General features: G+C 45.7%; 2 pseudogenes across 2 annotated transcripts in view, besides 4 other annotated features; one reads left to right on the forward strand and one right to left on the reverse strand.

Annotated features, from left to right (window-relative positions):
* The window catches only part of AACSP1 (acetoacetyl-CoA synthetase pseudogene 1), a 53575-nt pseudogene extending 51760 nt beyond the window's left edge, over positions 1 to 1815 (reverse strand). For both annotated transcript variants that reach the window (NR_024035.2, NR_135095.1), the window contains exon 1: positions 1474 to 1815. The product of NR_024035.2 is annotated as an acetoacetyl-CoA synthetase pseudogene 1, transcript variant 2 (transcript). The remainder of the gene's footprint in view (positions 1 to 1473) is intronic.
* Positions 14805 to 15428: an enhancer, noted in NCBI's record as "H3K4me1 hESC enhancer chr5:178258426-178259049 (GRCh37/hg19 assembly coordinates)". NCBI's record gives its function as "activates a minimal SCP1, AML or CMV promoter by ChIP-STARR-seq in naive H9 embryonic stem cells {active_cell/tissue: H9 hESC(naive)}" and the evidence as "EXISTENCE:reporter gene assay evidence [ECO:0000049][PMID:30033119]".
* Positions 14805 to 15493: a biological region, named in NCBI's record as "CRISPRi-validated cis-regulatory element chr5.4957". NCBI's record gives its function as "regulatory_interactions: HNRNPAB".
* Positions 15324 to 15493: a transcriptional cis regulatory region, noted in NCBI's record as "candidate enhancer chr5.4957 targeted for multiplex CRISPR interference". NCBI's record gives its function as "positively regulates HNRNPAB gene expression in K562 cells {active_cell/tissue: K562}" and the evidence as "EXISTENCE:mutant phenotype evidence [ECO:0000015][PMID:30612741]".
* Positions 22748 to 23042: a silencer, noted in NCBI's record as "tiled region #5461; K562 Repressive DNase matched - State 12:CtcfO". NCBI's record gives its function as "represses a minimal TATA promoter and a strong SV40 promoter by Sharpr-MPRA in K562 cells {active_cell/tissue: K562}" and the evidence as "EXISTENCE:reporter gene assay evidence [ECO:0000049][PMID:27701403]".
* Positions 23477 to 24516, forward strand: LOC100129457 (coiled-coil domain containing 86 pseudogene; annotated as a pseudogene).

Consider the following 25457-nt stretch of genomic DNA (forward strand, 5'->3'; position numbering starts at 1 on the left):
AAAAAGAAAGAAAATGTAACTACCATATGATCAGCAATCCCCCTACTGGGTAGACCTCCATAGCAAATGGAATGAGCATCAGGGATCAGAAAGACACAATGGGGATAAGAGATGTTCTTCATTAAATGGTTTTGAGAAAACCAACATCCCTATTGCAAAAGAATGAAATACAACCCTCTGTTACACAATGCAAAAAATCAACTCAAAGTGGACCTAAATACAAGACCTGAAACCATGAAAATAATAAAATTCCTGTATGCAAAAATAGGGGAGGTTACTTTCAGAGCAACTTGAATCCATGTCCACAGGTTGGAAAGAGTTTTAAAAAAGAAAAGAAAATGAAGGCAGGGAGCAGTGGCTCACGCCTGTAATCCCAGCACTTTGGGAGGCCAAGGGAGGTGGATCACCTGAGGTTGGGAGTTTGAGACCATCCTGGTCCACATGGAGAAACCCCGTCTCTCCTAAAAATACAAAATTAGCCCCGCATGGTGGCGCCTGCCTGTAATCCCACCTACTAGGAAGGCTGAGGCAGGAGAATCGTTTGAACCTGGGAAGCGGAGGTTGCGGTGAGCCGAGATCGTGCCATTGCACTCCAGCCTGGGCAACAAGAGCAAAAACCCTGTCTCAAAAAACAAAAAAAAAGAAAAGAAAATGAAAAAAGGAACACGTAGGGGTAAAATTTCACTGAGAATGGAAATTATATGTGAATTTTTTTTTTTTTACTTAGGCACTAAAATCACAAGCAACAAAAGCAGAAACAGATATGCAAGAGGCTACAGCAGACTGAAAAGCTGCCGCACGGCAAAGGAAATGACGAACTCAATGAGAAAGGTTGAAAGAGGGTTTGGGGGACTCACGACGTATCTGCTAAGGGCTTGTTATGGAAAATACAGAACAGAACATATACACAGTACTCAGTAGCAACAACAACGAGAAAAAAGAACAAATGATCCACCGCAACTTGGGCAGGGACCCTGAAATGTATTTCTGCAAAGACAACATTAAACTGCAGTGAAGCTCCCTACCCCATCAGGTGGCCATGACAGGACGTACAGGAGGGCACACTTGCTGCCGGCGGGTGGAGAAAAGCGGCCCCTGTGTCCTGGCAGCTGGAACGCACATTTTCATACCTACGGAAACCTGGAGGCAGCTAGATCTCTTTTCCTCTTTCTGAGGCTTGGACACCTGCAGCCAAACCTGGACCTGGCCCCTTCCCTCAACCTGGGCTGGGTTTCCCCTTATTCCAGCAGCTGCAGCTTCCCTCTGTATCTACATGGGGGAGTTTCCCTGAGAAAAAATCCCGAACCCCTAAAAATACCACAGCCTGCTATGTTGCCACCCTCAAAAGCCCCTGGTGGGGAAACGAAAAACACTGAAAAACAAAGACTAAAATACTACCAGAGAAAGAGCAAAACGACTGAGAACCTGACAAGAAGAAACAGAACATAGAAGAAAATGTTCTTCTATACTCACCTTGAAGGAAAAATGCTGGAGCAGTCGCGCTGTGGAGAAGCCCGCACAGAAGGAAGCTCCCTCCTCAGCAGTCAGCACCAGGGACGGGAGCTGTTTCTTCCCCAGGACAGGGGCCCAGGTCATCTGGAAGCTGCCAGCGGCACCCAGTGGGGTCCTGAGGGAACGGAGCTCTTCTCTTGTCCTCACTGTGGATGCCATGCCACGCCACACATGCCACACCGCCTCCATGGCGGGGGTGGGGAGAGAGGAGAACACACATGCGCACCATGTGCGGGCAGAAAAGGTGGTTTGGCCCTGCCTGCTGCTCACAGTGCGCGTGGCACGCAGGCTGATCCCATCTCCAGTATGCATCAGCCCAGGCCATGGCTCCAAGGCTCTGGAACTCCTGCACCTGCTCAGCCTGGGCTGCCACAGCTGCCTCTGCTTTTCTGCAACCGCCAATGCTTCCAGTCTTCTTGGAACTCTACTGCTGACAATTTGGGAAGACACAAACAGTCTACAGCAAGGGGATCCAGAATGGGTGGAGGAGTAGGTTTCTCACAAAGTTGAAACTTCAACTACCAGTCCATCTAGCCACCTTTTTTTCTTATAAATTTGTTTAAGTTCAGTTCCTTATAGATGACGGATATCAGACCTTTGTTGGATGCAAAGTTTGCAAAAATATTCTCCTATTCTATAGGTTGCCTCTTTACTGTGCTGATAGTTTCTTCTGCTACGCAGAAGCTCTTCAGTTTAATTAGATCCCATTCGTCAAATTTGGCTTTTGTTGCCGTTGCTTTTGGTGTCTTTCTCATGAAATCTTCGTCCATGCCTATGTCCTGAATGGTATTGCCTATGCTGTTGTCAGGGGTTTTTATGGTTTTGGGTTTTACATTTAAATCTGGATAAAGACTATGTGGTAATATACACTATGGAATACAATGCAGCCATAAAATACAATGAGATCATGTCCTTTGCAGGGACATGATGGAGCTGGAGACCCTTATCCTTAGCAAACTAACACAGAAAGAGAAAAACAAATATGGGATATTCCCACTTATAAATGAGAGTCAAATGATGAGAACACATGAACACACAGAGGAGAAAAACACACCCTGGGGCCTATTAGAGGACGGAGGGTGGGAGGAGGGAGAGCATCTGGAAAAACAACTAACGAGTACTAGACAGATTACACAGTCGGAATCGGCTTTACCACTTACTCTCAAGAAGCACTCAGCCTCTTTAGGCCTCAGTGTTCTTATCTTCAAAATGGGAATTATACTGATATCTTTCTATGGCAGAGACTGCTGTTCTGCCCTAGTTGCCAGTCTCACTTCCAAAGTGACAGAACCCCATTTTTGGACTAGGCATATGGCTCCCCAGGATGGAGATTGCATATCCTAGCCCCTCTGTTAGTTAGATATGGCCCTGTCTGTACCCTCCAACTGATGATTTGCGAGCAAAGCATCACTTAGCAGCTCCCAAGAGCCTTAAGAGGCATATTGATCATGCTCTTTTTTCTTCTTGACTTTCTCTTTCTCCATCCTCTCTGGAAGCTGATGCTATAATCTTGGACCACTAAGATCAAGGCTCAGAATACAATAGCTACAAAATAAAATATAGTCCCTGAAGTGGAGGCTACAAGTCTCAGAACCTTAACTTGTGACATAGGATTAGCTGAAGTGGTCAGGTAGTAGGTAGGAATATGCAGATATTGCAGGCTAATGAAAAAGAACAAGATCACGTCCTTTGCAGGGACATGGATGCAGCTGGAGACCATTATCCTTAGCAAACTAATGCAGAACAGAAAACCAAATACCACATAATCTCACTTATAAGTAGGAGATAAATAGTAAGAACACATGGACACAGAGAGGGAAACAACACACATCTCCCCGCTGGAGATGTTTCCCAACTTCTTTGTATTATTTACTGTGCTCCTCACATTTAGTTTATTATTTTATATCTGATTTCATTTTTTGAGGGTCTCACTCTGTTGCCCAGGCTGGAGTACAGTGGCATGATCACACTCACTGCAGCCTCAAGCTCCTAAGCTCAAGTGATCTATCTGCCTCAGCCTCCTGAGTAGCTGAAAATGCAGGCATGTACCACCACACTGGGTGCATATATATATATATATTTTGGTAGAGATGGGTCTGTGTTGCTCAGGCAGGCCTTGAACTCCTGGGCTCAAGCCATCCTCCAGCCTCACTCCCCAGTGTGTTGGGAGGCACCGTGCCCAGCCTGTTAGGGTTTTTATCATGAGGGGATGTTGCATTTTATCAAAAGGTTTTCTGCATCTATATATATGATCATATGGTTTTCCGTTCCTGAAGTGAATCACATTTGTTACTGCAAATGTTGAACCAACCTTGCATCCCCAGAATAAAGCCTACTTGATCACGGTGAATTAACATTTTCATGTGCTGCTGGATTTAGCTTGCTAGCATTTTGTTGAAGATATTTGCTTCATCACAAATACTGGTCTGAGGTTTTCTTTGGTTGTCACGTTGTCATGTCCCTGCCAGATTTTAGTATTAGGCTGATGCTGGCTTCAGAGAATGAATTATGGAAGAGCCTCTCTTCTTTGGTTATTTAAAATAGTTTCAGTAGAGGCCGGGCGCGGTGGCTCACGCCTGTAATCCCAGCACTTTGGGAGGCCGAGGCGGGTGGATCACAAGGTCAGGAGATCGAGACCATCTCGGCTAACACAGTGAAACCCCGTCTCTACTAAAAATACGAAAAAAAATTAGCCGGGCGTGGTGGCGGGCGCCTGTAGTCCCAGCTACTCAGGAGGCTGAGGCAGGAGAATGGTGTGAACCCAGGAGGTAGAGCTTGCAGTGAACCGAGATCGCACCACTGCACTCCAGCCTGGGCGACAGAGCAAGACTCTGTCTCAAAAAAAAAAAAAAAAAAAATTTCAATAGGATTGTTGCCAATTCATCTTTATGCATCTGGTAGAATTTGGCTGTGAATCCATCTGGTGCAGGGCCTTTTCTTTGAGGTTTTATATTACTGATTCAATCTGAGCTCAATATTGTTCTGTTCAAGGTTTCAAGCTTTTCCTGATTCAATCGCGGGAGATTGTGTGTTTCCCGAATATATCCGTTTCCTCTAGATTTTCTAACTTGTGCACACGTCCAGAGCATGTTCATAGTATTCTCTGAGGGTTCTTTGTATTTCTGTGGGATCAGCTGTAATGCCATCTTTGTCATTTCCAATTATATTTATTTGGATCTTCTCTTTTTTTTCCTTTATCTAGCTAGCAGTCTATCAATCTTGTTTAACTATTTCACAGAAGCTACTCTTGATTTTATTCATCTTTTGTATAGATTTTTGCATCTCAATTTCATTAAGTTCTCCAATTTAAGTTACTTGCTTCTGCAAGCTTTGAGGTTGGTTGGTTTTCTAGTTCCTTTATGTACCAAATTAATTAACTTGAGGTCTGACTTTTTGATGAATGCGTTTAGTGATATACACTTTCTTCTTGACACTGTTTTAGCTGCATCCCAGGAATCTTGGGTAAGCTATGTCCCTATTTTCATAAATTTGAAAGATTTTTTAAATTTTCATAAATTCGAAAGATTTTTTAAATTTCTGCCTTTTTTTGTTTTTTAAGACGGGATCTTGCTCTTGTCTCCCAGGCTGGAGTACAATGGCACAATCTCGGCTTACTGCAACCTCCAACCTCCACCTCCTGGGTTCTAGCGATTCTCCTGCCTCAGCCTCCCAAGTAGCCTGGATTACAGGTACCTGCCACCATGCCCGGCTAATTTTTTGTATTTTTAGTAGAGACGGGATTTAGCCATGTTGGCCAGGCTGGTCTCAAACTCCTGACCTCGTGATCCGCCCGCCTTGGCCTCCCAAAGTGTTGGGATTACAGGTGTGAGCCACTGGGCCCGTCCAGGTTATTTTTTAAATTTATTGAGGCTTGCTTCATGACTGAGCATGCGATTGATCTTAGAGAGTCTTACCTGTGCAGATGAGAAAAAAGTATATTCTGTGGCTGTTGAGTGGAGTTTTCTGTAGAAAACTATTAGGTCTAACTGGTCAGGTGTTGAGTTTAAGTCCAGCTTCCTTGTTAATTTTCTGTGTTAATGATCTGTCTAACGCTGTCAGTGGGGAGTTGAAGTCTCCCACTAGTACTGTGTGGTTGTCTAAGTCATGTTGTAGGTCAAGAACTTGTGTTATGAATCTGGTTGTTCCAATGTTGGGTGAATATATATTTAAGGTAGTTAAGTCTTGTTGGATTGTACCCTTTATCATTATGTAAGCTGGGCGCGGTGGCTCACGCCTATAATCCCAGCATTTTGGGAGGCCGAGGCGGGCGGATCACAAGGTCAAGAGATCAAGACCATCCTGGCCAACATGGTGAAATCCCGTCTCTTTTAAAATTACAAAAATTAGCTGGGCATAGTGGCGCACGCCTGTAATCCCAGCTACTCGGGAGGCTGAGGCAGGAGAATCGCTTGAACCCGGGAGGCAGAGGTTGCAGTGAGCCGGGATTGTGCCACTGCACTCCAGCCTGGCGACAGAGCAAGACTCCATCTCAAAAAAATAAAAATATCGTTATGTAATGGCCTTCATTCTCCTACTTAATTTTTATTGCTTTAAAGTTTGTTTTATCTGATATAAGAATAGCAATGCCTGGGCTGGACACAGTGGCTCATGCTTGTAATCCCAGCACTTCGGAAGGCTGAAGCAAGTGGATTGTTTGAGCACAGGAGTTGGAGATCAGCCTGGGCAACGTGGCAAAACCCCATCTCTACCACAAAATACAAAAATTAGCCAAGTGTGATGGTGCATGCCTGTAGTCTCAGCTACTCAGGACACAAGGAGGCTGAGGTGGGAGGATCACTTGAGACTGGGAAGTTGAGTGCAGCGAGCCATAATCACACCACTGCACTCCAGCCTCGGTGACAGAGCCCGTCTCAAAAAAAAGAATAGTGACTTTTGCACAGTAGATATTTCTCCATCCCTTTACTTTGAGCCTGTGGATGTTGTTACACGTGAGATGAGTCTCTTGAAGATGGCTGGTCTAGCCACTGGATCAGAGATTTAAGTGTAAGACCTCAAACCATAAAAACTCTAGAATAAAACCTAGGAAATACCATTTGGGACATCAGCCTTGGGAAAAAATCTATGACGAGGTCATCAAAAGCAATTGCAACACCAACAAAAGTTGACAAGTGGGACCTAATTGAATGACAGAGCTTCTTCACAGCGAAAGACATTATTAACAGAGTAAATATACAACCTATGAAATGAGAGAAAATATTCCCCAACTATGCATCTGACAAAGGTCTAATATCCACATCTGTAAGGAACTTAAATCAACATGCAAAATATAAATAACCCTGTTAAAAAGTGGGCAAAAGATATAAATGGACACTTCTCAAAAGATACACAAGCAGACACACGTGAAAAAATGTTCAGCATCACTAATCATCAAACAAATACAAATCAAAATCACAATGAGACACCACCTTCCTCTTGCAAAAATGGCCATAATTAAAAAGTCAAAAAACGGCAGATGTTGGTATGAATGTGGTGAAAAGGAAACACTCTTACTCTCCTAGTGGGGAATGTAAGTGAGCATAACCACTGTGGAAAACAGTATGAAGAGTCCTTAAAGAAATAAAAGTAGAACTCCCATTCAGTCCAGCAGCCCCACTACTGGGTATCTACACAAAGGAACAGAAGTCATCCTGTGAAAAAGGCACATGCACATGCATGTTTGCACAATTCACAGCTGCAAAGGCATGGAACCAACTTAAGTGCCCATCAACCAACGAGCAGACAAAGAAAACGTGGTATATATACACCACGGAATACCACTCAGCCACAAAAAGGAACAAATGCCTTTTACAGCAACTTGGAGGGAGCTGGAGGCCATTATTCTAAGTGAAGTAATTTAGGATTGGGAATGAAAAACCAAGTATCATATGTTCTCACTTAAAAGTGAGAGCTGGCCGGGCGCAGTCGCTCACGCCTGTAATCCCAGCACTTTGGGAGGCCGAGGTGGGCGGATCACGAGGTCAGGAGATTGAGACCATCCTGGCTAACATGGTGAAACCCTGTCTCTACTAAAAATAAAAAATTAGCCAGGTGTGGTGGCAGGTGCCTGCAGTCCCAGCTACTCGGGAGGCTGAGACAGGGGAATGGTGTGAACCCAGGAGGCGGAGCTTGCAGTGAGCGGAGATCGCACCACTGCACGCCAGCCTGGAAGACAGAGCGAGACTCCATCTCAAAAAAAAAAAAAAAGTGAGGGCTAAGCTATGCGGATAAAAAGGCCTAAGAATGATATAATTGACTTTGGGGACTCGGAAAGGATGGGAGGGGGATGAGGGATAAAAAACTACATAATAGGTACAGTGTATACTGCTAAGGTGATGGGTCCAGTAGAATCTCAGAACACATCCATGTAACTGAAACCAGCTTACCCAAAAACTATTGAAATAAAAATAAAAATTAAAAAGTAATTACTCCTGGGGATCTGTTTAAAATGCACTGTTAATATTCCATGACCCATCTTTTAAATTTCCATTCAAAACCCTGCAAATACTCAGAAACAGATTTAAAATCTCAAACCATTGCCAAAATTACAACTTGATTTGTGCAGAGTTGAGAGGAATTTCCAAAAACATAAGTTCTTAGGGGTCACACATGATGGCTCAGGCCTATAATCCCAACCCTGGGTGGCTGAAGGCCAGAGGATTCCTTGAGGACAAGAGTTTGAAACCAGCCTCTGCCACACAGCAAGACCCTCTGTCTCATTAAAAAAAAAGACACAGGATGGGCGCGGTGGCTCACACCTGTAATCCCAGCACTTTGGGAGGCCGAGGCGGGAGGATCACTAGGTCAGGAGATCGAGACCATCCTGGCTAACACAGTGAAACCCCGTCTCTACTAAAAATACAAAAAAATTAGCCGGGTGTGGTGGTGGGTGCCTGTAGTCCCAGCTACTCGGGAGGCTGAGGCAGGAGAATGGTGTGAACCCAGGAGGCGGAGCTTGCAGTGAGCCTAGATCACACCACTGCACTCCAGCCTGGGCGACAGAGCGAGACTCCATCTCAAAAAAAAAAAAAAAAAAAGACGAACTCTTTTAGGAGTTTTCAAAGAGGGTTTTCTTACAGTTCGTCTAGTGGCTCACATGAATATTTCTGTTATTGGAGAGCATCCCATGAAGGACTGGCTTCCAGAATCCCTTCTCCTTCCCACTGAGCTGACCCACCTGTGATTCTGGCTCTCAGGATCTTTGTAGGACACAAGGCTCAGCCTTCTTCATCCTCCATCTCATCAGATTGTCCAACAGAGGCCAGGGAGTCCTCTCGGGTTCCTCCCCAGATATTACTCAGACTCTAGCAAGCAGCAGGGCCGCAAGATCCCAGCCACTTCTCTGGATCCATAGATGCCTCAACCAATGCAGGGATTCTACGCATTTCTGGGCTGCAGCCTGAGGACAGGGCTATTATTGTTGTAAAAGGCACAGCAGCTCAAAAGTTTACAGGATGCTCAAGACCCACGGGGAAGTGAGACGCTAACCTACTCTCTACTCTCCTGGCCTAGTGCAGTCACCCCTGGTGGTGACTCTGATCAAGTATAGCTCAGAGGGTGACTTCTCTTGTCCGATCTTCAACCAGCAACTGATTGTCCTCAGACAAATAGGTTTCACAATGCAGTATCACTGTCTTCAGTTTAACTTTTACATTAATTTACTTCTCACTTCTTCTCACTGGGTTCGTGTTTTTGCAGGCAGAAGTTTCTGGCTTGAAGACAAAAATCTTCAACTAGTTATAGAAAATCAAACAAATGCTTGGCTGCTTTTTAATTGGGCAGATGAAGTACTTTAATATTGATAAAATGGCTCTAATATTTAAGTAGCACGTTTACAACTCTAAAGATGAAAACTATCAATAACTCCACCAGTCTGACAACCAAGCAACAAGAATGCAACCCGTTTGTGGCTTCCTAGCCAACAAACACAGCCCCACTGAGGAAAGGGGGAATGAAAAGAAGAAAAAGCATTGCAGCATTTGCATTAGGCATTTTAATTGTCAAAATGTCACACACAACAATATTGAAAATCACGTCACTGGAAACGATTCAAAGCTGAATGCCACATTCATAATGGCAAGCAAGATGCGAAAAACTAGAAAAAAAATCCCTTCTTTTGCTCTGAATTACATAGGAATGGTGACCAATCTTATTTAAATTTACAAAATTTATCTACATTACTATGGATTTCTAATATGCTGCCTCCTTAGCTTTCCCTGCAAATATAACAAAGGAGAGAGTCATCCAGGATGATGGGGCAGCACAGAGTCGAGTGCAGGCCTGAGCACCATCTGCAACAATGACAAGCTCTTACTTGCTCAGGTCTTCATTCAAATGGTAAACCACACATTCCAATACTCAAACAGAACAGGGCTGTCCATATTCACATGTGGCTCCAGTTTCCTCATCCATAAGAAAAAAACCTTTCTGGCTCTAATAGCTTTTGATTTTTAGAAATAAAGTTTAGAAGGTCTGTTTCATCTAGAAACACTAATTACAAAAAAAAATACTATATTCTAGGGCATTTTAAAACTTTTTCTTTACAGGACCTAAATGTTAACAGTTAATCTTTAGAAAATAATATTTGAAATCCCCTACTACGTAGCTATTAAAACGTCTAAATTTTGCACCAACTTTTGTTAACCCTGGAGGCATTTACTCTTATATCCATGTTAGGAACATTTACTTGGATTAACAGAAATGTGTTGAGTGCCCTTTAAACATTTCCACACAATATGTCATTATAATCTTGTGAAATAGTCTGTATTTTCTTCTAAAGAATCTTTTCAGTCAAATGTTTAATCCATTTAGGAATTTGTGTTGAACTAAAGTAATTCAGTCAAAACTACCAATTAACTAGCTGCAAGCAAATACTACTAAAGTGTGTTTCTGATAATTCACCTCTTAATGATTGGTAAATAAGGAGATGAAAAGCAAAATGGGGATTCTGAGCAATAAAATGTTACCATTGTTCCTTCCACTTTGCCTACCCAACAGAGCAAGATTAATGTTTTATCATTTATTTATCTGAGCCAATCGCTTGTCATTAAACTTCACTAGATCAATGTTAATGCCTTAGTAAATCAGTTGCACTACTGGAGTGTCCTTGAGTATCTAGTTGCACTTGTATATATTTCTCTTTTGTATACACATTCTCATATAAACGCTAGTATAATGCAAAACATCCCAGATCTACCAGAGTAAGTCGATAATTCAAAGGCACAGTAAATTCCAAGAAATGGCAGCACATATACATGTTGGCTTATTCCAATGTCTGCCATCAATGCAAAAAATGTGACCTGTCTGTACTTGACACAAGGGATCTCTAGTCCTGGCTCATACCATTGCATGAGAACAGGTTATTACATTTTCAGGAACTTCTGAGAGTTTATTCTTAATAAAGTCATCATTAAAATGCATTCTATAAACTTCCAACTAAATTATATTAAAACAATAATACTTAAGACTCCTCATATTCTAATTATTTCAGTATATTTTATTATCTATGTTCATGGTGCATCTACTCAATCTGTATGGTAGAATTATCCTAGGATGGTGTGCTAGCATCCATCTCGTCCCAACTCATCAGTGACATCAGCTTGGTAGCTTGAATCTGGCCATGATATCCTTACCTACAACACAGAAATGTGCAAATACTACAAGCCAAGTTTTGTGTTTTTCAGTGAGTCAGTTGTTAAGCATTTACCAGCACACCACTGGATTTGGACAACCCGGGCACGATCCCTGCTCTCTTGTAGTCACCAAAAATGCAAGATGCTATGGGACTAGTTAGCAAGACTATGGGATCAGGAAAGAACTACCGGAGAATATGTTACTTAAGTAGAGTCCCAGTGAATGAGTCAAGGTTAAACAGGTGGGCAATGAGGATAAAGAAGTTGTTTTACCAAGCAAGGGGAAAACAGACTGCAGGATGGAGCCTCATCCCAGAGATTCAAAGCCCAGGGTGCTAGTGACGGAGTACAAAGAGATAAGGCTGAAAAGATGCAAGACAAATCTTACATATTTTAAGAAAAGGCACTCAGCCGGGCACGGTGGCTCACGCCTGTAATCCCAGGACTTTGGGAGGTCAAGGCGGGTGGATCACGAGGTCAGGAGATTGAGACCATCCTGGCTAACACGGTGAAACCCCATCTCTGCTAAAAACACAAAAAATTAGCCAGGCATGGTGGCGGGTGCCTGTAGTCCAGCTACGGGAGGCTGAGGCAAGAGAATGGCATGAACCTGGGAGGTGGAGCTTGCAGTGAGCCGAGATCGCGCCACTGCACTCCAGCCTGAGCAACAGAGTGAGACTCTGTCTCAAAAAAAAAAAAAAAAGACAAGACACTCGTATTCATGACTGTATTAAAAACACTGGGAAGCTACTGAAGATTTTTAATCATGGGGTTAGAAGGAAGAGAGATGAGAACTCTCTTGACACTTGACTGAACTGGAAAAGGAACCAAAAGATTGTCCAAGAAAAGACAGACAAAAATGACCACCAGGCTTCCCTGGCAACGTAGCTAGAAGCAAAATCTTTCTGAGCATGCAGCCGTATTGTATTTTTATTTAATGATCGCTTAAATGCTCGACTCCACTAATATAAACATTATTAAGCATATACAAAAGAATAGGGAATTTTAAAAAGTGAGATAAAATACAGTTATGTAAAGTTCTGATCTCTATTTCCACACTTCCATGGTTCTGCAGCCAACTTCACAGGCCACTGCTGAAGCCAGCTTTGGAAGATGAAACATAGGATGCACAGGCAATGGGACTTGGTGAGGACTGCATGGAGCTGGGGCCAGATGCCACTGTCAGGGAAGATCTAGCTCATGCCAAGAAATCCAAACTAGCATAAACCTCTTCAAAACCTGGCACCATGGCTGTAACCAAACTCCCCCCAGCTTGCCTACTGACTGCATCACAACAGTGGGGCAGTATTTCCTGGTACTCAGTTTCACCCGAGGCAAACAGAAAATGTTAAACAGGAAATGCTAATGTGTGTGTGTGCGCCTGCCTGTATGGGTGTGCGTGTACATGTGAGTGTGTATGTGCACACACGAGTGTGCATGTGAGTACATGTCTATGTGTGCATGTGAATGTATGTGTATCTTGAGTATATGAGCATGTTAGTATCTGTGTGCACATAAGTGTACATGTGTATGTATATAAGTGTGTGCGTGTGTGTTTGCACTCACTAGTCTGGGGGCTGGTTTGTGAGAGTGGGGCGAGGAGCTGCTGGTGTCACACAAGGCTTGCGATAACAGAAAACATTTTTTCTTCCCAGTAAAAACAAATCCCAGCCTTCTAGCGGTGACTCGCACCCTCTCAATCTCACTCTCCACCTGCTCCTTGTTCCCCCATCTGCCCCTCCTCTCTCCTTCAGAATGTTTTCTGCAGTGCTTTTTCTCATCTTAGCTTGCTCTCTCCTTCGTTCAGCCTTCTAATCATCTTGTCCATTCTTCCTGTTTCTCACTCCTGTTTCTGTCCCGTCATCACTCTCCTGGGAATTTTTGCTAAACGGCAGAGGAAGGCTGAGAGTGTTTAACACAGAAATTCTTTATTTCTCCTGCACGTCCTCATTACAGAAGCATCTACAATAATGTCCACTTGCACACACAGCTCCTGACCCTCCACGGGGGGCTGGTATTGCGGATGGGGTGTGGAGGCAGCAGAGGAACATTGGGAAACGTCTATGGATCCAGGCTCAGCTCAGAGGCTGAGTTCAAAACTTGGCACCATGGCTGTGACCACATTTCCCCTAGTCTGCCTACTGACGGCATCACAATGGTGGAACAGTGTCTTCTGGCCCTCGTTTCACCAGGGGCAAACAGAAAACGTTAAAAAGGAAATGTTAATGTGTGTGAGTGTGTGTGTGCCTGTATCGGTGTGCAAGTACTTGTATGCATATGCACACACAAGTGTGCAATGTGTGTACACATGTGAATGTCTATCTTGAGTATATGAGCATGTATTTATATGTGCACATGAACATGTGTGCACATGAATGTAATGTGTGTGTATATGTGTGTGTGCATGTGTGTTTGGACTCACCAGTCTGGGTGCTGTGGTTTGTGAGAGTGGAGCAAGGAGGAGCTGCTGGTGTCACACAAGGCTTGTGATAACAAAGAACCTATTTTCTTCTCAGTAAAAACAAATCCCAGCCTTCCAGAGGTGACTCGCACCCTCTCAATCTCTCTCTCCACCAGCTCCAAAGTAAGAGGCTGATTATTTTGAAAATATAACACAGTGACGAGTAGCTTTTAACTCGGTTTTGGTTTGTTAAGGCCATTCCTTGGGATAAAGGAAACAAGAGGAGGAGGTTGAGAAACAAGCATAAAAACAAGAAATATAAGCAGCAGTATAAGAAAATGAAGAACACGATGATGATGATGATAAGATTAGACTGAAAGAAAGGTAAAAGACCAGGTGCAAGAATTAGAAGGCCTGTTATGATACCTTTTTTCCCCTCCCCGATTCATGAAATTAAAAAAATCGAAGACTATCAGAACAAAAAACAAGAAAAAAGTAACAAAATTTAGGGGTTGACTATTTGTGTAAGAATGAGGCAATGCTGCCACTCACAGCTGGCTCAGATGCCAGCAGGAGGAGGGCACCCTCCAGAGACTGCAGGAGAAAAGAGAGGACTCCTCCTTGCCCTGGCTACGCCTCCGTCTGTCACCGAGGGCTGCGGTACAGAACCGGCAGCTTCCTACCCATGCCAGGCCAGGCTAGGCCCCAAAGTGCTCCTACTCCCCCTTCCCAGGCCCCAGATTTGCTGCTGCTGCCACCATTAGCACCGACGCCAACGCAACCAGCAGTGCTGTCACCTTCCATCCACCGGCCCACCCTACAAGGCTCCTACCACCTGGCCAACACGGGCGCCCTCCTACCACTCCTGCCGAGCTGCAGTCTCCATTGCTGTCGCCACAACCGCAGGAGGCGAGCCACAGAGCTGTGCCATCTGCAAACTCCAGGCTCCAGCTCACCATAGGTAACTCCTCCTTCACCTCCTCCTCCAGCCTGGCTTGGAGCACCTGGGTGGGCAAAGCCAAAAAACCCCAAAACAGGATGCAGAAAGTGGCAGCGTTAGAGCCGCACCTAGTCATGCTGGCCACTGGGTGGCAAGGGCTGGTTTCAGCGAAGGCACTCACACCCACCCTCTGAAGTCCAACCTCTCCTCCTGGCCCAAGCTGGCCTCCTGACCTGGGATGGGGACTGGAGACACCACAGTGCCCGGCGCTCCTTGGGGAGTAGGAACAGCAGAAACTCCGACCCAGCCAGTCCTCCCCACCCAAGTACCGGTTCTCACTCCTGACTCCACCACCCACAGGGCCCTGAGCCCCTGTGGTGCCCACTATTCCATGCCCAGGGGTCCCAGATGGTCTCCGCAACACGAACAAAAGGGCGAGGGCTGGGGAACCACAGTGGGTGTGGGGACCCTGCTGTGCTCAGAGAATTGCTGCGAAAACTCTGTGCGCCTGCCACGCTCCAACACGAGCAGGAGAATTTCACCCTCTACAGCCTTGACTCTAGGAAGAGAAGGGCCCCTTCCTCGGAGGCCACTGCTGTACCGGCCACCTCCACAACCCACTGCCGGCAGCAGCAGTGCAGCGCCTCCAATACCGCCCCAACCTGGCCCCTAGTGCCAGCAGCGTAGCCCTCAGACTGCACCCATGACATACCCAGAGCCAGCTGTTGGCAATGTAACCCTGATAGCACCCCCAAACCACCCCTCTGCCGCTGGCAGCGCTGGCAGTGTAGCACCCGATAGTGTCCACAACCCATCCCTGCCACAGGCATTGCAGCACCCAATAGCGCCCCCAACCTGCTCTTTCCCCTCTTCCCCCACCCCCGGGCAGCACAGCCCCAGATAGTGCCCCCAACCTGCTCCCATCACAGGCAGTGAACGCCCGGGATAGTGCACCCAATCAACCACCCCCCCACCTCCCCCCCCTCCCCCAGCAGTGCAGCACCTGACAGCTCCCCTAAACAGCCCCCAACTGTTGGCTGGCATTGTTGCTGGGATTGTAACCTGGGATAGCTTACCCAACCGGCCCTCTGCCTTGGGCAGTGCAGCAGCTGATAGCTCCCCTAACCCACCCTCCCCGCCGCCGGCAGTGCACAATAGCTCACACAACCTGCCTCCAACCCCCCCCTCACCCCACCTTGGGCAGTGCAGGCCCAGATAGCGCAGCCAACCCCTCCCACCACCCACCGCCAGCACCGCAAAGCTGGATAGCACTCCACCACCAGTCCCCCACGGCAGGCAGTGCAGACCCAACAGCACACCAAATCTGCCTCCCCAGGCAGGCAGTGCAGCCACAGACAGCGAACCTACCCCACCACCTTTCTACCACTGTAACTGAGCTTCAGTCTCCCATCACCACCACCAACCGCAGCCAGGCAGGCCTCAGTGGCAAACGCTCCAGCCTCCAGCATGCACAAGTGGTCCCCGCTTCTCGTCCTCTAGCCGGTCAGGAGCAGCTCTTCCTGCCGGCCATCCTTCTACCGCTCCGGCCGCCCTCCTACACTCTGCCGCACACTGCATTCTCCCTCACCACCACCAACTGCAGGGAGGCGAGCCGCGGTGCTGCAAGGCTCCAGCCTCCGGCGTGCAGCACGTGGCTGAGCTCCCCTTCTCCAGGTCCTCCAAGCGGGAAACAAAGTAGCTCTGCTAACTGATACACAACAGCCTAAAATGACGGGAGGCCTCCTCAGCATGCACATGGGCTTATGAGAATGGTTTCTAGACTACATATTCTGATTGGATGAGAGAAAACCTCTGGGCCTTCTCTGATTGGACTTTATTTTCACACTCTGATTGGTTGTCCTGAGACTTGCTCTCATCCAATCAGAACATGATAATAAAGTCCAATCAGAGTAGGCCTCTGGTTTTTCTCATATCCAATCAGAACATGTAGTCCAGGAACCTCATATGCATAACCTCTGTGTATAAATAGTGCTGAAGGGGAGTCAGGCCATTCCAGGCTGTGTCTGCTCAGCGAGCTTCTCTGTGCCCAGCTTAGAGGACCAGGACCAGGGATAGCCACCACCGCATGCTTGAGGCTTATAGCTTTTGGCACCGCGGCTCGCTTCGCTGTGGTTGATGGCGGCAGAGACTGCAGTGAAGCTGGAGCGGTAGGAAGGGGAAAATAGTTTTGGGATAGATGGAGGGGTACAGAGAGTGCTTAGTGCCAAAGGGAAAAGAGGATGGCGAGCAGGAGAAGGCATTGCAAAAAGACGGTCAGGAAAAATGGTGGGAAAAACAATTGGGGGGGGGGTACGTGGAGGGGGAAAAACGGGTGGTGAACAAGAGGGAGAGAAGGTTTTGCAGAAAGACAGTGGGGAAAACGTTTTTGGGTAGATGGAAAAAGAGTGATGAGAGAGTAATGGGGGGTGAGCGGGAGGGAGAGAAGGTTTGCAAAAAATACGGTTTTTCTCAAATGCTTTATTTCTGTTGAGATGCTCATATATTTGTTTTTTATTCTATTAATGAGGTGTTTGCATCCATTGATTTTTCAAATATTAATGGTGCATTCCTGGGGTAAAACACATTTGCATGTAGTGCATTATCTATATGTTGCTGGAGTTCATTTGGCAGTGTTTTGTTGAATATGTTTGATTTTATAAAACAATGAAAGATACTGGTCTACATTGTTTTGTGATATTGTTTTGGTGTCAGAGTAATCCTGGCTTTATAAAATGAATTGGGAGGTGTTCTCTCCCCTTTTATTTTCTGCAACAGTTGGTGAACAATTGATATTAATTTCTCAGAGTGTTTGATAGAATTCACCTGGGAAGCTCCCTGAGATAGGATTTTTATTGTAAGTTTTTAAAATTACTATCTGATCTTTTAACCTTCTGTAGATCTATTTATATTTTCTATTTCTCTTTTACTCTATTTTAGTTTGTCTCTTTCTAGGACTTCATCCATTCTATCTAGGCTATCTTAATTTTTTTGGCATAAGATTTTCATTGCATTCTCTTTTAATCATTTTTGTTTTGTAATACTGGCAGTGATGGTGTTCTTTTTTATTGATGATTTTAGTAATTTGATTCTCTTCTTTTTTTTTCTTGTTTAGCCTAAATAAACATTTGCCAATTTTGTTATCTTTCCAAACATTTAATTTTGGTTTATTGATGTTCTTTGTTGTTTCATATTCCCTATCTTTCTGTTGGCTTAACTCTTGTGAAATGTTTCTCTTTGTCTTTAGGAAGATTGTATTTGGTTAATAAAATTTAAGTTGATTTTGGAGTATCAACTTTTATGTGAAAGTAGAAGCATGAATTGGGAAATAATGGGTTCTCAAGTATTTTTTTGGTGGTGGCGGGGGTGGGTGGGGGAACAAAATGAGTATCCATGTAGTCCTTGGTTCCCCAAATCATTGAGCTAACTTGGTCAAAATAAGTAGCCTCTCATTCCTTATCTCAAGAGGGTGGTCTTGCCTTGCTTGGAGACATTATAGTGAATTCACTTGATGTAGTTTCTTTTAATCATATCAATTTACTTCATGTCCCATTTTCTTTTCTTTTTTTTTTGAGACGGAGTCTCACTCTGTCGCCCAGGCTAGAGTGCAGTAGCGCTTGGCTCACTGCAATCTCTGCCTCCTGGGTTCAAGTGATTCTCCTGCCTCAGCCTCCCGAGTAGCTGGGATTACAGGCACCCGCCACCATGCCCGGCTAATTTTTGTATTTTTAGTAGAGACAGGATTTCACCATCTTGGCCAGGCTGGTCCTGAACTCCTGACATCATGATCCACCCGCCTCAGCCTCCCAAAGTGCTGGGATTACAGGCGTGACCCATGGCGCCCAGCCCATGTCCCATTTTCAACCAGTTATTGTACCTGGAATGATTGCTAGAATCACATTCCATCTCGCACAGGTAAATAAGTGAATTCTGTCATTTAATATCTAAATTATATATGTTTATTTACATATACATATATTTTACTTGTAATTCAATGAAGGTAAAGCTTTGTTATGCTCTGTGTAAAATATGCTGTCTATATTCTCATGATAGTAAAGAATAAATTGAGTAATTGAATGTATTTGAATTTTACATATATTCTCCATTGAGTAAGAGAAATAAAATCTTAGTACTTGATTTAGTAAATTCCTACATTAAATTCCTAATTTAAATTAAGATGTTTCTTAGCAGAAACAAAGTTTATCTTAACGGGATGATAATTCACTAGTTTACCTCTGACGAGCATCGGCTAGTATTTATTATGAAATTACGCAGCACCAAAATACAATAGAATACAATTATTTAAAACACAAAAAATATTTTATTGATTAATTCAGACATCAGATGTTTACATTATAAAATCAAATTATTTTGGGGGTTTTGTTTTTGTTTTTAGGATATTAGCAAATATTAACAAACGTGAACCATAGTAAAAGTTGTAACACTTGAACATTCCGTTTTCAAATAAACTAAATTTATGTGTCAGATTGAAAAGCTTTTAGATGAGCGATTTATTTTTCTGTCTGTGTCCAAATATTTGTATATCATGTAGACAGCCCAAGAAAATATGCAGATATGTAAGCCATTGAATAGAATGGTAAAGAACACATTCTTAAAAGAAAGAAGAGAATAAGCATCCGAACCATTTTGCATTCTCACTAGCAATGTAAAAGGATTTGTTTCTCCGCATATTTATCACTTGTTATTTTACATTTATTTTGATTGTATCCTAGTAGGTGTGAAATAGTACCTTGTTGTTGTTTGATTTGTATTTCCGTAATGACTAGTGATGCTGTATACTACATATATCTATGTACACATATACATATATATATATACTTATATTTATGCACATACACATATATAGCTTGTATACCTTGTTTGGAGAAATATCTATTCAAATTATTTGCCCATTTTTTAATTTGTTGTTTGCCTTTTAGTTTTTGAGTCATAAGTATTCTTTGTATATTCTGGATACTAGATTATCATCAGATACATGGCTTGACAAATATTTTTTCTCGTGCTTAGGTGGTTGTTTTAGTCTGTCTGGACTACTATAATAAAACCCATAGATTGGGTGGTTTATAAACAACAGGAATTTATTTCTCACAGTTCTAGAGGTTGGGAAGTCCAAGATCAAAGCACTTGCAGATTCAGTGTCTGGGGAGGGCCTGCTCCATCATAGATGGCTGTGTTTTCACTGTAACCTTGCATGGCAGAAGGGGCAAGGAAGCTCTTTGGGTCCTATTCTATAAGGGAACTAATCTCATTCGTAAGTGCAGAGCCATCATGACTTAATCTCCTTCCCAAAACACCACCTCTGAATACTATCACATTGGGGGTGAAGATTTCAGCAATTTTGGAGAAACATAACCCTTCAGACTGTAGTACTTGTCTTTTACCTTTCTTGATAATGTCCTTTGATGCAAAAAAGTTTTTAATTTTGATGAAGTCCAACTTATTTTTTCTTGTGTTACTCTTGCTTTGGATGTGGTATCTAAGAATACATTGCAAAATCCAAGGTCATGAAGATTTATATATACATACATATAAGTGTGTGTATGTATATGTATATACACACATATATATGTGCATGTGTGTGTATATATATATATTTTTTTTTCTTTTTTCTGAGAAGGAGTCTCTCTCTGTCACCCAGGCTGGAATGCGGTGGTGCAATCTCGGCACCACTCCCAAATAGCTAAGATTACGGATTACAGGCGTGCACCACCACACCTGGCTAATGTTTCCTTCCTCTTCTTATTCAGTAAAGACTGAGCTCACATCCTACTGCATACTTTACCACCTACAGAAGTTTGTTATAATTGCAAAAAGAAAAGATTAGTAATGACCATATATAGTAAAACAAACAGAAACTACAAAAACAGGACCAGGAAAAGATATGGAACATGTGGAAAGAATAGAACCAGTCAGGAGCAGTTTATATTTCTGACCGAACTGCATTTTACAGTGGCCAGTGAGAAGCAAGGCCGCCGGCTACCCAGGAAGCTGAGGCAGGAGAATCGCTTGAACCCGGGAGGTGGAGGTTGCAGTGAGCTGAGATCACGCCACTGAACTCCAGCCTGGGCGACAGAGTCAATTGCTGGGCCGGGCAAAGTGGCTCACACCTGTCGTCCCAGCACTCTGGGAGGTTGAGGTGGGCAGATCACTTGAGGTCAGAAGTTTGACACCAGCCTGGGCAACATGGTGAAACCCCATCTCTACTAAAAATACAAAAAGTTGGCTAGGCATGGTGGCTCATGCCTGTAATCCCAGCACTTTGGGAGGCCAAGGCAGGTGGATCACCTGAGGTCAGGAGTTCAAGACCAGCCTGGCAAACATGATGAAACCCCATCTCTACTAAAAATACAAAAATTAGCCCGGTGTGGTGGTGAGCACCTATAATCCCAGCTACTCAGGAGGCTAGGGAAGGAGAATCACTTGAACCTGGGAGGTGGAGGTTACAGTCAGCCGAGATCATGCCTTTGCACTCCAGCTGGGTGACAAAAGTGAAACTCTGTCTAAAAATATATATTAAACACACACACACACACACACACACATATATATGTATAAAGTTAGCTGGCCATGGTGGTGGGTGCCTGTAATCCCAGCTACTCGGGAGGCTGAGGCAGAAGAATCACTTGAATCACTCCAAACATGACATCCTGGAAAAGGCAAAACTAGGCAGCATAAAGAATTTTTAGGGTAGTGAAACATCCTGTATGACTGTAATCGTGGATACACGTCATCATGCATCTGTCAAAATCCATGAAACGTACAACCCAAGGAGTAAACCCTAACATAAAAGATGGACTTTGGTGAATGATAATGTACTGATATTGGCTCAGTAATTTGAATATGTACCATACTTAGAAAGATGTTCATAAAGAGAAAACCGTGAGGGGAAGGGTATGTGGAAACTGTACTTTCAGCTCAATTTTTCTATAAACTTAAAACTGTTCAAAAAAGGCATATTAATTTTTTTAATATCCTAATAGAGGATCAGAGGATGGGCAAACAAAGCCTGGGCAAAACATGGCAGAAAAAGCACAAAATACAACAAAAAAATAAATCTTTTTCCAGTAAGTTGTTGTTGTTGCTCTAAGTAACTGGTGCAGTGATTCTAGTCGGTGACTAGCGATTCCAGTCGGTGGCTAGCGATTCCAGCTGGTGGCTAGCGATTCCAGCTGGTGGCTAGCGATTCCAGCTGGTGGCTAGCGATTCCAGCTGGTGGCTAGCAATTCTAGTTGGTGACTGAGATTTACAGGTTGAAGGGGGGGATCAAGTAGAAGCTGGAGGATGGTCTGAAAGAGGGAGAGGGGCGTTGTTCAGGCAGAAGTGGGTTGGATCCTGACTCTACCACTCAGTATGCCACATGTCAAAGAGAAACAAAATCAGTCTCCAATTACAGGGGTAAGGGAAGATTTTCATCAGTACCAACTGTTGCACTGGGGAAGAATCCAGCCTGAGCTGGACTGAACTTGGATTTGTAGAGGTGACTTTGAGTTTCAAAGGGAGAATGAGGGAATAAGGAAGGGGTTGGGGGGCGCTCAGTAGAGTCAGGAAGGTGACAAATTGCAAAGGGTTGGTTGAGTGCTGTTGGCCCCAGTGCTGCTCCCGGTCTGGAAACTGTCATCCTCCCAGAGGGACGGGAGACAGAGGCCTTGTCCCAGGTGCCAGCCAGAACAAACTACATCCCTTTGGCAGCATCCAGTTTTCTCAGGCAGGCAACTAAGGGGCGCCCGCGTTATCTGAGGGGTGTGGCCTCCAGCGCTGGTAACTGTTAGTGTTTGCTGAAGTCTCCATAGGCCAAGGCTGGGTGGGGCCTGGTGGAGAACGGGGCTCAGAGGGGCCTGGCTGGAGTCCGGTCCAGGACGTTCTTTGTCAAGAGAGCGAGTTAACCGGGCCCTGGGAGCCTCCATTTTCCCTTGCATATCTGTGAGGAGCAAGAGATGACGTGATCCAGGAGCCTCCCGGCTCCACATCCCACAGACGCCCTTTCTGATAAAGGAGCCGGGCGGGCACCGCGACTGCGCCCACTGGAGGCCCTGAAGTAGCAAGGCTCCTGGAGCGCGTCCTGCGCTGGAGTCCTGGAGGATGCCACAGATCTGGAGGGGGTGGTGGGGTCCTGTCCCAGACTCGCCTTAAACGCTGCGAGGACAACGACCCCCCCAGCCCGCCTCCACCCTCCAGCCTGCCTCAGGCAGGAGGCGCAGTAGTCCCCTCTGCAAGCTGCAGATTCCCCACCCTGGCTCCAACTGACCATAGTTGAAATCGAGCTGGAGGCGACAACAACATCCTAGAAACCTGAGTCCCCGCCTCAGGGTATTGATGCCCTTTACTGATTGTAAAGCCAGTGTGGAACTCTGCAGCCTTGGCTCAGAAACGCAGCTGCTGAGTGTCCTGGAGCAGGTGCGACCAGAGGACATTGGCAGGGGAGCAGTGCCTCCTGGTGGTCAGTGCATGCTGGCCTCAGTGACGGGAGAACCTTAAGGCTGGTGACATTCAGTACCCAAGCAGGCAAATCACAGAGGTGGCTGGGGGTGTGCAGGGCTAATGGGCAAACTAGAGCAATGGAATAATGTCTTTCCTCTCAGATAGGGAAACGTTTTAAAAATAGATAATGCTCAGGGCTGGCGGGGGCACACGGAAACTGGCACTGCCATACACTGCCAGAGGAGAAAGGAAAGTGGGTGCTGGCCCTGGGAGAGGTTTCTTGGTTTGTTTTGTTTTGTTTTTGAGGGGTAGTTTGTTTTTTTGCAGAGGCAGGGTCTCACTATGTTGCTTAGGTTGGTCTCGAACTCCTATCCTCAAGTAATCCTCGAGCCTTGAGTTCCCAAAGTGCTGGGTTACAGGCATGAGCCACCAGGCCCGGTCCCTGAGAGCCTTTGGGAACTAGGAATCAAAAGTCTTTCTCTGGGGTGGGGCAGGGGGTGCGGTGTACGTGTGCAGGGGTTTCGAAACTTTGTGGCTTGGCCGTGGATCTCATGGCGTGAGAGTCTCACCTCAGTTTCATGGGCGAGATTGGCCCTTGTGGAGTTTGAGTCCAACCCAGAAGAAACAAGGAAGCCTGGGTCTTCTCCAAGTGTTGCAGCAAGCTGGCCTGGGGTCCCCCCAAAGGTAGCCAGAGACAAGCCCAGGATCACCCAGTCTGCAGCAGGGTGCAAAGGTTTGGGGGTCCCCCACAAAGGCAGCCAGAGCCAAGCCCAGGGTCCCCCGAGCATCAGCAAGATCTACACCTGGAGTCACCTCAAAGACAGCCAGAGTCTAGCTCCAAATCCCCACAATGTCAGCCAAAGCCAAGTGAGGAGGCACCACGGTGTTCTCAGGGCCAGGGAGAACCAGCCTCCGAGTGGGCCCAGAGTCCAGAGGAGCTGACTCGGGGGGTGGGGGTGGCATGAGCACCTATACCCGGGCCCAGGATCACCAGAGCCTTACCCCAGTCAGCAGGTGCCGAGTTCAGAGCCGTCACGGCCAGTACGGGAGCTGACACCCAAGGCACCTGGCTCCCTGCTGGGGTCAGCAGGAGCCAAGCAAGCTGCCTCTAGCTGGGGAGAGGTAACAGGCGGCCATGGGGCAAAGAAGGAAAAAGGTTCTTCAGTCCAGGCTCCAGTATCCAAGAAGTCGAAGGAGGAGGAGGAGGAGTTTCCTATAATCCAGAAGGGGAAGCCCACATTGCGGGAGGATGTGGAAGGACTACTGCAAGAAAAAGTTATCCCAGATGGTTCAGGACAAGCCCCTGCACACATCCTGGCAGTGGAAGATGAAGGAACAGCAGGAAAGGAAGCTTGCCAAGGATTCTGCCCCTAACCTGGAGGAGGAGAAGGAAAGGCACTGCCAGGAGAAGAAACAGCGCTGGGCCCAAGAACCTGAAACATCACCTATAGAACGAGTGGAAGGCAGAGATTGTCCAAGTGATCCAAAGCCCCACCAAGCTCAAGCTGGTGAGGACACAGCAGCTGTGCTCCACTGAGAAGCGGGACACCCTGCCCCTGCTGCAGAAGCAGCCATCCCAGCAGCCAGCAGGCAAGGTCTGAGCTCAGGACGGCCCCGAGGCCCTCTATGGCCAGCAACCATGTCAGACACAGCACCTCAAGCCACTGGCCAGATGCCTCTGCTGGAGTCAGCACTCCAAACCTATGGCTGCAAAATGGTGACCCCCACCCTGGCCAGGGCTCCTGGGCCTTTGACGTCTTTTAGGCTGGTCTGTGTGGGACAGAGGCCCAGGGGGGTCTGGGATCTGGCAGAGATGGGGGTGAGAAGAGATTCAGCCCCCTCCCTTCTTCCTCTCCTTCTCCAAGTGCCTTCAGACCAAGAACAGTATATTCTTCGGTTCCTCAGTGAGCTGGCGACTAGCAGGTGACTCCCACAGATGTTGTATGTCCTGTCTCAGGGTCCTAGGTCCAACCCAGGCCCAAAGGCTGGCAGTCAGGAATCCAGCTTCCCCTACACTTTCCCAAAGGCTGCTCTGAGCACCTCTGCGCCCCACTGGCTCTGTCTTCGAGCAAACTGAATCCACCTCCTCCCCACTTTTCAACACTGAAAGATGAAAATGGGGAGATTGCAGGGAGCAGTTTCTCCCTAGCACCCTCTTGCCCAAACCAGACTCCTCAGAAGCATCAAAGATCTAACTCATGTCTACCCAGTCTACAAAGAAAATATTTATTGAGTGTCTGTTGCATACAGGTACAATTCGAGTCACCAGGGAATACAGACAATAGACCAAAGTCCCTCCCCTCAATGAGCTTTCATTCTGATGGAGAGAAAACATAGTAAACAAGCAAAATGTGTCATGTGTCAAAAAAAAAAGTCTTTCTCCAAATGCATACACTTCGATCTAGCTATTCCACTTGTAGGAATTTATTTGTAAGACTGTATAAAGTATATACAGAGTCTTATAGTATAAGGTGTAGATCTTGCTGATGCTGGGGGGACCCTGGGCTTGGCTCTGGCTGCCTTTGTGGGGGACCCCCAA

This window comes from Homo sapiens, chromosome 5 (genome assembly GCF_000001405.40).
Source record: "Homo sapiens chromosome 5, GRCh38.p14 Primary Assembly".
Classification (NCBI taxonomy): Eukaryota; Metazoa; Chordata; class Mammalia; order Primates; family Hominidae; genus Homo; species Homo sapiens.